The 12,340-nt window shown below is 38.4% G+C and overlaps 2 long non-coding RNA genes across 4 annotated transcripts in view; one reads left to right on the top strand and one right to left on the bottom strand.

Annotated features, from left to right (window-relative positions):
• LOC105372130 (uncharacterized) overlaps nucleotides 1–12,340 on the top strand; it is a 177,123-nt gene that overhangs the window by 105,580 nt on the left and 59,203 nt on the right. The gene's annotated exons all lie outside the window — the stretch shown is intronic.
• On the bottom strand, nucleotides 3,745–10,869 carry LINC01415 (long intergenic non-protein coding RNA 1415). Of its 3 annotated transcripts, none has more exons than NR_145452.1 (2): nucleotides 10,099–10,869; nucleotides 3,745–9,174 (listed from the first exon to the last, which is right to left on the bottom strand). It is a non-coding gene; the product is annotated as a long intergenic non-protein coding RNA 1415 (long non-coding RNA). The 3 variants fall into 3 exon arrangements; NR_145454.1 differs by lacking the exon at nucleotides 10,099–10,869 and adding an exon at nucleotides 9,832–9,894; NR_145453.1 differs by lacking the exon at nucleotides 10,099–10,869 and adding an exon at nucleotides 9,293–9,565.

Here is a 12,340-nt window from a genome sequence, read left to right on the forward strand (position 1 = left end):
AGGCAGGAGAATGGTGTGAACCCGGGAGGCAGAGCTTGCAGTGAGCCAAGCTCACACGACTGTACTCCAGCCTGGGCGACAGAGCGAGACTCCATCTCAAAAATAAAATAAAATTAAGTTAAATTAAATGCTTAATCCATTTGAGTTCTGCCTTTTTGAATGGTATGAGATGGCTTTCCCCCATAAATATTTCGGTATTTTCCTAATGCTTACTGAAAATTCCATCTTTGTAATATATTAAAGTCACATTTATATCTAGAAGTAAATTTTAGCATAAATGTTTAGGACCTATATGAAGAAAATTATAAAACTTAAGACCAATTAGTACAACTTGAATAAATGGAGAGTCATTCCATATTTTGACACTGGAAGGATCAATATTACGTGAGCTTCCATTCTTCCCAATTCATGTATAGATTAAATGCCACTCCAAGAAAAGCCCAGTAGAATATTTTTGGAACATAACAAAATGATTTGAAATTTCATCTGAAATAGTTAACCAAACCAAGGAGAATAGGAAAAGAAAGAATTATGAAGGGAAGTTAATTTTATGGCATAGAAAAATATAAAGGTAGAATAAATAAAATATAGCAAGGTGATCTGTGCAGAAGGAGACAGGCATATGGACAGAATAAAAAGCCAAGAAATATAGTGGTTTCTGGGGGCTACAGGTTGGAGAGATGTTGGTTTTTTTTAATTAAAAGGAGAAAAGAAAAGAGAAGCCAAGAAATAGATTCTAGTATTAGTAATTGGTAAAAGAGCATTTCAAAACAGGAAATGCATAAAAATAAAAATTATTTATTTTTTTTAAAATGAGGGGCCTGAAATATTGTGATCCAGTTACTTCAGTAAAAATGTAGTTAGATTTTTACACCATACACATGGATAGCTTAGAGAGCTAAATATAAAACAATACAAAACCAACAATAAGTTAGAAAAAATCTGTAGGTGAGTGTGTATGTGGTATTATCAAAGATATGGCCTTTCTAAACTTTCAGATAAAGAAAAAAATCATGAAAGAAAATTTCCCTATATTGCATTATATAAACTGTAAAACTTTCATACATCAAAATACCTTATACCAAAAATACAAAGCAGATTACCAGCTGTGAATGATATTATTAATATTATAAAGATTAATAATTAATAATACCCAATCAACAGAAAAATGGGCAAAAGAAGTGGCAGGAAAAATATAAAAAATATATAAAAAAGAAAGATAAATGACCAATAAAGACAAAAATGTCTTCCTCACTACTAATCAAAGAAATTCAGCTTAATGCAATAGGGGTAATTTTTATCCCCCAATTTTGCAAAGACTAAGACATAATAATGGACATTTTTTTGCAAAGATGAGATAAAAAACAAACAGGTATTCTGCCAGTGGGCTATAAATTGTTTCTGGCTTCCTAGAGGGCAATTTGGCATATACTTCAAAAGCTTTAAATATTTTTTTCCATTTCTACTCAGTAGTTCTACTTTTAGCAAATTATTTTAAAGAAATAAATGTATGTTTAATCTATCTATCTATCTATCTATCTATCTATCTATCTATCTATCTATATAAATGGCTCACTATAGTATTGTTTTTAAAATTTATTACGAGCTATTTAATACATACAAAAAGCACGAAGATTAATGCAGTGAACATCCATGTACCCAACTGATATAGTTTGGCTGTGTCCCCACTCAAAATCTCATCTTGAATTGTAATACTCCCCATGTGTCAAGGGCAGGACTAGGTGGAGATAATTGAAACATGGGGTGGTTTCCCCCATACTGTTCTTATGATAGTAAGTGAGTTCTCACAAGATCTGATGGTTTTATAAGGGGCTTCTCCCTTTGTGCAGGCTCTCATTCTTCTTTCTGACACCATGTGAAGAAGGACATGTTGGCTTCCCCTTCTGCCATGATTGTAAGTTTCCTGAGGCCTCCCCAGCCATGCTGAACTATGAGTCAATTTAACCTCTTTCCTTTGTAAATTACCCAATCTTGGGTTTGTCTTTATTAGAGGCATGAGAATGAACTAATACACCAACATCCAGAGAAAATATAAATCATTATTGATAGAGATATACCCTTTATTCATCTTTCCCCCAATGTCTTTACTTCTTTACCTCCAGAGATGAATGTGGTGTTCATGATGTGGCATTATTTATTACAAACTTCCTATATGTCCAAGCTTGAGGAAATTAATTAAATAAATTATGGTACCTTTAAGTGGTGAAATATCATTTATTTAATGAATTAAATATTTTTATTACAATTATAATACATATACATTATTAGACATTTAGAAAAGTAGAGTCTCGAAACAAAACTAAAAAATCACTCATGATTCCTTCAACCAGATGTAACCATTTTAGCTTTTGTGCCATCTAATCTTTCTTAATAGATATAATTACATATTATTTAAAAAGTAAATGCTGTATATACAGTTTTATAATTTTCTTTTTCTCTTAATTCATTGATACAACTTTTTTATGTTATAAAATATTATTTTAAAAACAATTTAGCGGCTGCATTGTACTTCATTGTTTAGGTAAGTATTTACTCTTGATATTTTTGTATTATGTCAGTTATTTATTATTATAAATGAAACTGCTATAAACTTCTTTGTAGCTAAATATTTGCAATGATAACTATTTATTAGGTAAATTTCTAGAAGTGGAATATTTTGGTTTAAAATTCTAACCAAAAGCATCATTCTTTGCAGAATATTTAATGGCATGATATATTGCTACATGAAAAAAATTGACTACTAAACAATATATGTAGCATATTTGCAAATGTTAAAAGATGTATGCAAAGCGATGGGGGTGAACTATTTTTATTTGCATCTTTATGCTTTTCTGAACTGTCCAGTTTTTCTACAGCAAGCATACATTACCTTATTGATCAGAAACAAAATAATAGTTTTTAAAATAATTGAATAAATATTGAATAAACCTAACAAATACCAGGGTCCCCGGAATAGTAGCTTTACAATTGTCCTTGTGAGAAAGACCTGAAGGTCTTAGTGAGCCACAAGCTCAAAGTCAGCAAGGTATTGAAGCTGTTTAAGAATAAAATGCCCGGATTACATTGTTAAGAACAAAATGAAATAAGAGTACTTCCACAGCCTAAGTCTGTGGGACTATAAATACCACAGTGTATTCTGTAGAGATGATATAGTGTGTTCACATAAGTAGGACCAAGTTGCTTAAGGGGATCAGAAGCTGGTATAAATTACTGGGCCCAGCCATCCAGAAAAGCAACAGGAATTGATTATATTGCATGTCAACAAAAATCTACCATTACTGGGGATGCATGAAAATAATTTTTTCATTAGGCTTCTAACCCCCTTCTTGGCAGCTTTCTCTTTTGAGAGTGGAAGTAACTAATAGTCTGAGTCTCTGTGTTGAAGGAGGAATGACAAACTCAAGCTGAATCAAGGCTATCATTTCACTCCATAGGAATACAATCTGGGGGATGGGAAATTCAGACTTTCAAGAGGATGGTTAGGGAAAGGTAAGTGACAGCACCATGATTGCAGTTGATGTGCTGTTTCAGAACAGGCATTGGGAGAGAACTCAGTCCCCAGCAAGAACAGGTTAACCTTTCAGGGAATGGCGGGAATCTAGTACTGTAGTCACGCTTGAACACAGCAAGGTTTACACTGCACAAAAATAAATGTCTATACCTAGGGCCCATACTAGTGTCATTGTGATAATCAAGATGACCAAGAAATGTAAAATATCTGTATTGTTTTTTACTAAACTCAGTTTTTATTTTGAGTTACCATTCTGCCAAGTGCCAGAAAACCTAATCTGGTTAATCTCTGCTAATTGGATGACGTCAACATTTTCCTCCTCATTTTCGGTCAATTCATAGACACTTTGGGGCCCCATTTCTCTCCCATGCTCTGTGGCAAGGACCTGCTTGGTTCTGTACACTCCTTCTCCCCGGGATAGAGTCTGGCTCTGGTAGCAGTCTCATGGTTGTTGTTCGTTTTCCAGGCTCTGGAGTCACAATTGACCCGTGAATTCCTCACCCTTTGTTCCTCCTAATGATGGATTCTTCTGCTCCACTTGTCCATCCAATGTTGGACCCTTGGGAATTCCCAGATGTCAGATCCCAGCAGAGTCCCGATCCTCTCACCCCATCTACAATGGGTGGGCACCAGTGAATCAACAAGTCTTCCTTAACAGGAACAATTGGTCTATTGCTGTCTTATTCTTATATTAGCATATTATATATAGAATAGTATTGTTCTAATATAAGAATATAATATATAGAATATTATTTTTATAATAGAACAATATTGACATTCTATAGTATACTGGGCAAAACCACAAAATCTGATTTCCTCCTTTGATTTCAAAAGTTCAGTAACCTAATTGCATAAAGATTCGATAGAAATATAATTTCTTTATTAATCTTTCTTGAAGTGATTTAAATTATTTCAAAGCAAAAGGAAAGATAGAATGTAAAATTGGGACATCCTTCTGGTATTGTTATCATGAAAAAGAAAATTCAGAAATATATGCAAAATAAAGCCACCTGAAAAGTGTAGCAAATAATCCAATTCTTTAAGGAGCAGACAAACTATGAGAACAGATGGACAAACCAAAGACTTACAATGTCTATCAACTAATAAGCAGACCAAATTACCGGCAGATGCAATTTGTGTCATATTAGGAAAGGATGAGTTGACCGGGAATGTATCCCAAAGAACAGTAACAATTATTGTAATGAAAGAGAAATGATGTGACATCAATAATAGAAAATTGGTACTACCACTTAATGTGAATTTCACTGAGCTCAGTAGCATTTTTTGACAATATGAGAAAGACACACACAGAAAGAGAGAAATAGGGAGATTATCTATCTATTTATCTGTCTATCTATCATCTATCTGTCTGTCTGTTTAGAGTCTCTCTCTCTCTCTCACCTATTGAGATACTAAAACAGAACCTGTCCATAGGGGTGGCTTAACTAGTGTTTGTTGAATGAACACAATGAAACTAATGTAAACTCCACGTGCTCCAAATGAAACTTACAGGAGAGTCCCCCTTTAAACATGTTAAGTTAATTTAAACATATCCTTCTTTGAAAGGAAACCACTTTTGTTGCATGCAGGAACTTCTTAGGTCCCATTTGCAATTTTGGTCCTCACCTGGGATGTGCTTGCTGGCCCAATCTGATGCTTATGACTGGTTCCGATTAGTTGATCCTCATATATTGCTCTGGCTGTTAATAACTGTACTGTGAAGAGCATCCCTGCATCTTTATCAACCAAAAGAGGTCTCTGATGTGGAGGCACAGTAAATCAGCTAGGGGGAGATGGACACTGAGTTGACGGTATTGGAAAAACTGCCTAGCTATTTGAGGGAAAAATCAGATTCTTAACTCACAATGCAATAAAGTACAAAAGCAATAAAGACTTAAATGTAAAAACAAGCTCATAAAAATGCAAGTAGAAAAAAATAGGTGAATATCTAGGTGATTTTCTGTAGAGCAACATAAAAAAATTAAAAAATACTTGATACATTTATCTAAATAAATCTTTAACATTTTTATGTATCAAAAATCATGAATAACATTAAAATGCAAAAAGTAAAATGGGAAAAAACTGCCACAATTACAACAAAGGGCTGATACGTGGGGTTTATATAAATACAGTTAAAAAAATTAAGGCCTCAATAGAAAAACAGGCAAAGGACAGTAATAGATAGTTCACAAAAGAGAAAATGGCTAATGAACATCTGGAAAAGCTGTTCAATGGCAGTAGCCCTCCCAAAATACAAATAAAACAACAAGATCTTTTCTTTAGCCTATCAAATTAGAAAAGATTTGTTTTTTTTGTTGTTGTTTTTTTTTTTTGTTTTGGCTGTGGTATCAGTCACTATGACTAGAGGCATTAGGAGAGAACAGCTCTCTTCATCTATTGCTGCTTGGACTGAAAACTGCTAAAATCAATACGACAATATATTTCAAAAGCATTAGAAGTATTATATGAACCTAGTAATTCTTGTTATAGAAGTCTATCTTAACGAAATAATCTTAAACTCAGAGATTTATGCACACAGATTTTTGTTTAGCATAATTTACAATAGCAAAAACTGGGACTCACAGACACTCAACAATAGAGAATTCTCTATTGTTTCTTAAAAAATGATACTAATATATCATATTGGTATGATATAAAATTAGACAGTCACTAAAAATGTTACAGATCCTTTTTAGTTACATGGGAGAAAATAAATATAAAAACAAGAATGCACAATTTTATACTCCATAGGTTCGTACCAAGGCTAAAAAAATAAAGGGTAAAAAGACTGAAAGAAATCATCAAAATATTAAAAGTGGTTAACTCTTACTGGTGAGAATAAGGGTGTTCTCGTTTGCTCCTTTATAGCTTGTTCTCTCATTTTATACTAAATTGTCCATAATGAACGTGTATTACTTTCATAATCAGGAAAAAAAAATCATTATTTTCAAAGAAAATCTCCAGAAGTAATCTTGCCTTTACCTGGTAAAAAATATCAGAGGAAAACATTTTGATGAATTGTTTCATAGTACTTTTTAAAGCAGGATTTCGCAGTTCTATTCAAACATAAGTCCTGAAGTAATAACTAATTTTTGGCAGGGCAGTTAGTAAACAGTAACTAGGCAAAAATTGTGTCTTAAAAAATGATTAAACTATTAAAAAACACTAAAGAAAAAAATCCCTTATTTGTTCAAGATTTAAGTAAGAACAGAGACATTTCTGTTTTATTTACACCTTCATTATTAACTGACTTAAAAATTATACAGGGGGTATTTTGCTTCAGCCTTAATTTCTTGCTGTTTCTGAAAGTGTTGTTGTTTGATCTCAAGATCAGGAAGACTTATGATGTGGGGATAACTTTCCATAACCATTCTCCTCCACCTTCCCAGACTTCACTGCTTGCTTTTATAACTGTCTGTCCTTTCAAGGAAGTAACTGAAGATTCACATACTCGTGAGAATCCAAGTCTATTCCCCAGAGCCAGCCCCAGGCAAAATTGTTGAAGAGCTGAAGTTAGTGGTGCTCCCTATCCTGCTCTCAAATGCTTTAATTAAATGAAACATTGCTAACTCTGTTGAGTATCTGCTACATATCAGGCATTCTGTTAAGGACTTTCACCCATACTCTTTTATTTTATCATCACAAGCGTCTTGCAAGGGCTTATTTGTCTCATTTTAAAGACGAGGACTCAGAGGCCCAGAGAGGTTAAGAAAGTTGCCCTTGGTCACACAGCTAGGCACAGTCACCATTCAAATTCATAGCCAGATCTGTATCATTTGAAAGCTGTGCTTGCTCTCACTGAGTGGGATCAATACTTCGTAATAGTCTTTCCATGCCTTTTAAACTCAATCATACAGATAGTTTATCCGCTTTCCAACTAAAATTCAAATTGTCCTTAATTTGAAACAGTCTAAAGCTTTTCAGTTTTCTTCTCAAATAATAGAAGCTTCCAGAAGAAAATGGATATCTGCCTAATTATATCTGGTAGCTCTATCAGTTTAAACAGAACCTTATTAAAGGAATTTCAGCACTTTTCAGTTTTCTCAAATTGTCACACCTTTCACCAAACCACTTCATAGATAACAAGAAAATTCACGGGCTTGTCTTTCTTTGGGCTTAACATAATTTCCCCACTAATCTAAAGATCCCCCCAAAAGTTAATTAATTTCTCAGATTCCCTTGGTAACTAATCGAGAGTTTAAAACATTAATTCTCAAAGAATTTTTGACTCTTTAATCAATTCTAATTCTGTCCTAAGTAGCTATATGCCCTCAGGCAATTTACTTTGGGCCTCTGAGATACAAATTTCTTGTCTGTAAAAACCCGAATTAAAAGTATCGCCCTTCCTCTTGGGTTGTGGGTAGAATTAGATGAGATAATGTAAGTAAAGTTCTTGATACATGGGGGGTGGGGGCGGGAGGGCTCAGCAAGGCACACCTTATTTCACACGTGCCTCTCCTTTGCATATTCATGTGTCCTCTATTTAAAGGCCAGTGTGTCATACTAAGGGTTTTCTCTTTCTTTTTCTCCAGGACACATTATATTTCCTACTCCTTAACTCTCTTCTAAGAGACCTTGTTTGTCAATCATGTACTTATGCAACTTCTCCATTCTACATTACACTGAAGAACAAGACCTAACAGGATTTGATAAAACCAGTAACAGAACACTCTTCCATCTCCCTATCCACTTCCCCCTTCCCCTCCCCCCAAAACCAAAACCAAAACCAAAAAAACCTTACAAACAAACGGGGGGAAAAAAACCCCAGTGTGACAGAGAAAACCCAAAAGTTATCAATTCAGTAATCTCCATTTAGTGTTAAAAAAAGAATGTCAAAAGGGTAGCTTGCAAGTAAGAATAAAAGAGGTTTTTCATGACCAGCTTTTCCCATTCTCTATTATCCCTCAGCGGCAGCTTTTGGTGTCTCTGGTACGAGGCAAGGTGTCGAGGGGGGCCATATTAACCCCCTGTGAATGCCTGGCCGATAATTAACATCTTGGGTCCAAGAACCGATACAATGAGCTGGGGGAACGGAATCTTTCTCAACCAGTAATAGGTAATTGAACGCTTTTGCTGATTTGATTATAAGGAATAACTCTCGGTGATCAAAACCAAAGCTGGGTTAAAATCCTAAAGCTGGGGGACAGCTGAAGCACCCACTTCACGACTTAACGTTTCAGGAATATGAATTCTATGTTCAGAAAATTTCCCCACACTCTTCTTCGCTGGCACATTCACTGATGTAGAAAATGCCAGGAGCCCCGGGGGTGTGATGTTTCCGGTGGATAATGTCTCCCGTTCCCTGCCCCGGGGCCCAGACAGTTGGTGCTTAAGCGTCTACAATGTAGAGTTTCCTGCATTTTCCTCGGGCCGCCATTTGTCTACTTGTCCCATCCAGGACATCTCCCTAAATAATCTCTAAGTGGAAAAATCACGGTCCTCTAGGAGATTTATCCGGGAACGAACGTGCGTGGGGCAGTTCAAATTCCTGAGCTCAGATTTCGTTTCCCGCGGTCAGATGGTGCGGTCGGTGGGGCCCGAGGGATGCGCACAGCTGTGCCTGAGAGGTGCTGCTCTCCCGCCACCGAAGTCGCTGGGAAATTCTGCTGCACTGAGACATTTTAATGTCGGATGTTCTAATCCTGCGGGCAAAAAAAAAAAAAAAGTTTGAACCAGGTACTGGGCTTTTGTCACGGTGAACCCCACCCGCGCCCCGCGCCGTCCCTTCATTCACTCAGGCGAGGTGGCTTGGATTTGCACCTCGTTGAAGAAGCCTCCCATGCGACATCTCCGCCAGCACCCCGCGCGGACTTGGCTGGGCGGCGGCGGGGAGTCAGCTTGTCACCGCACGGCGGCCGGGACCGCAGCCCCTGGGTGCGCAGTGCGCCTCTCGCTGCGCCCTCCTAGAGCGCGGGTCCCGTGCCTGTGCCCGGCGCGACGCGATCTCCCTGCTAGTCGGGCTCCGCGTGCTCCCCGCGCTTCCCGCAGCCTCCGCGCAGCCCGCAGCGCCCTCCAGCCCCGCCTCGCGGCCGCGGGAACCCGGCGCCTGCAGCCCCGCCCGGAACCGACCGCCAGGCGCTGTTGCCGCCGGCCACGCAACGCGGGGCCTCTGCCTGGCACCAGCCCCAGGTGCCTTGTCTCGGGTCGTGCTGTCGCGCGACACTGGGGACCCAACAGGCCGCCGGCTACTCAGCTGGCCCCGCAGCTTCCCTGCGGCTCAGCGGCCTCCCACCCAGGAGAAAACCACATTTGATGAGAGTTTTGAATCAAGCCGAGCGTTCCCCCAGATGTTCAGCTACCTCAATTTCTAATGATTCCACAATCCCTTGTGATTCATCTCTTTCCTCCTAAGGGTTGCCAATGGCTCAAAGTTTAGACTTGGGATATAAAAAACGCTATTCACAGCCTTATTAGGAGGAGTAGGTGGGGAAGGGGAACTGGATACTGAATGGATTTTTTAATCTACGGAGAAAAATCACTCAACTGAGACCCGGCCTCTTTAATTTTCCTTTCTGAATCTCAGTGACTTCCTCTATAAAATAAAATGCAAAACAATGATATCTCACCTGCGTCAGAAAGTTGGTCACATGGTCTCATGAAGTCTCTTTCAAGGCTAAGATCTCTATGATTTTGTGATCAGTAGATTGAAATTTAAGATTAGAAACAGGTTATTTCTTGAAAGCAGTAAATGGAGGGCATTATGTGTGAATCAAGTACCAGAAGCAGGGGGTCTTTGTCTCTCCCTCTCCCCAGATGGGGCAGGGTCTCCACACTCTGAAATGTTAGTGTCAGTAACACATAATCAGGAAGTCGAATATGCGGATTATCTAGTCCTTTAGGATTCTTTGCACCATTGATTCTTTCCACTAATATTGATAACCCAAAGTTAATGACATATTGTGAGTTTCTCTTCTTTGCCTTCATGTTTTCAATCCTGGAGACAGAAAAAGGAACTAATTCTCTTCTTTTAAAACAAAAACAAAAACAGAAAAAATCAATCCCATTGATCAATGTGGAAAACCAAAGACCCAAGACTCCCCTGTGCCAAATCCCTCCCATGACCCTCCACTGTGATTCAAATTGGAGTGTTCTGGAAAATGCCGGTTCGAATTGCAAGGAGGCAGAATCAATCTCTCTCTCTCTCTTCAAAGGAGACACAGGCTCTTCTCAGGGACATTCCCTTATGTCTTTTTGATGCAGGAGGTTTAAGAGTCTCCATCTTAAAGCCCGCTGAGTTGGCTGAATGCTGACTTTAGGTGCCCACTATGAGCAGTGTAGTGCCCAGTCCTCAGAAAGAATCTAGAGTATTTTTACAGAACGAATTGCCTTTGTTTACCTTTCTGAATCATTTCATGCATGTTGTTGTTTTTGACCCACCCTTTTGCTAGGATACAAGAGCCAACCTTCTGTAAGAGGGGGAGAAAAAGAAGGAAGATGTGTGAGCTCCCCCTGGTGCTTTCCCGCATTCAGGCCAACTGAAAGGAGCTGCAAGGAAACACGTCTACACAGGCATCAGGAAAAAGAAAATATCTGGATTATTTCCTTTAAAAAGGCCTGTTTCCATGCTGATGGGCCTCAGAGCAAGACTTCCAGGCTTCGGGCCTGAATTCTGTATGTCATCTTAGGAGGAATTCTTGCCTTGTCAGAGAACGTGTTTCTAAAACAAAATTTCAAGTGGGGGATTTGCCAAGCTGTCCTGCGGACAGGATTACTCTTGGAATCAAACGGGATTACTTTTTGTCCAGAATTGTTCCCTTTGTTAGGCTAGTTATTCTTTGACTGAATAATTTTCACACACTTCTCTTTGTATGTGTTGACAGCACAAAGATATCACAGGAATCTGGTACCAGCCAATTTGACTGGTGGTGACTTTAATTCCAGACAATATCTCCTATCCTAATAATAACCTGTATTCGTAATGGCCTCTTTAACACTGGGGGTCAGGGACTTCTGTGGACTCCAGTCATCTGTGAAGATCGTCGGGGAGATTTCACTCAGTCTATTCAGTATATCCAGTATAGTGGCCTGAAACAATTTATCAACGTGTAGTCAGTCAGTCCTGCTCTTGGTCCATACAGTGGAGAGTCTAAAAGATGTGTGAAATACATTCCCTACCTACACATGGGCAAATCACTTAAAGGAGCAAACTTTAATGTTCACTAACATAGTTAAAATGGATGGGCCAACATTATCATGGTTCTTTCACCTCCTAAGTAAATGCAAAGCTTTTCTTCACTCCATTTTGTATGTGTAATTTTGATTGAGTGGGAATCTTGTAAAGCCAAAAATGGAACTGAAAGCCCACTCATAAGACCATAAGTTTTTTTTTTAATTTTTAATTTTTCTTTTCAGGCAGGGTATTGCTGTGTCGCCCAGGCTTGAGTGCAGTGGTGCCATCATGGCTCACTGCAACCTCTGCCTCCCAGGATCAAGCGATCCTCCCACCTCAGCCTCCTGAGTAGCTGGGACTTACTGTTGTGCACCACCACAGCTGGCTAATTGTTAGAATTTTAATTTTTATTTTTTTGTAGAGACAAGGTTTTACCATGTTGTCCAGGCTAGTCTTGAACTCATGGACTCAGGTTAACCACCTGCCCCAGCCTCCCAGAGTGCTGGGATTACAGGCATGAGCCACCACGCCTGGCCAAGACCATAAATCTTAATTAATCTAGTTCATAGTCTCAAATTCATTCTACTCTCTGATTTTTATTTCTCCCAACTTACTGTGTGCACGCACCCCCCCTTTTTAATGACATTTCTCTGATTTGCACTGCCATCCTCTCTCCTACTTCAGTGATCCAGCATCCA

This window comes from Homo sapiens, chromosome 18, assembly GCF_000001405.40.
Source record: "Homo sapiens chromosome 18, GRCh38.p14 Primary Assembly".
NCBI lineage: Eukaryota > Metazoa > Chordata > Mammalia > Primates > Hominidae > Homo > Homo sapiens.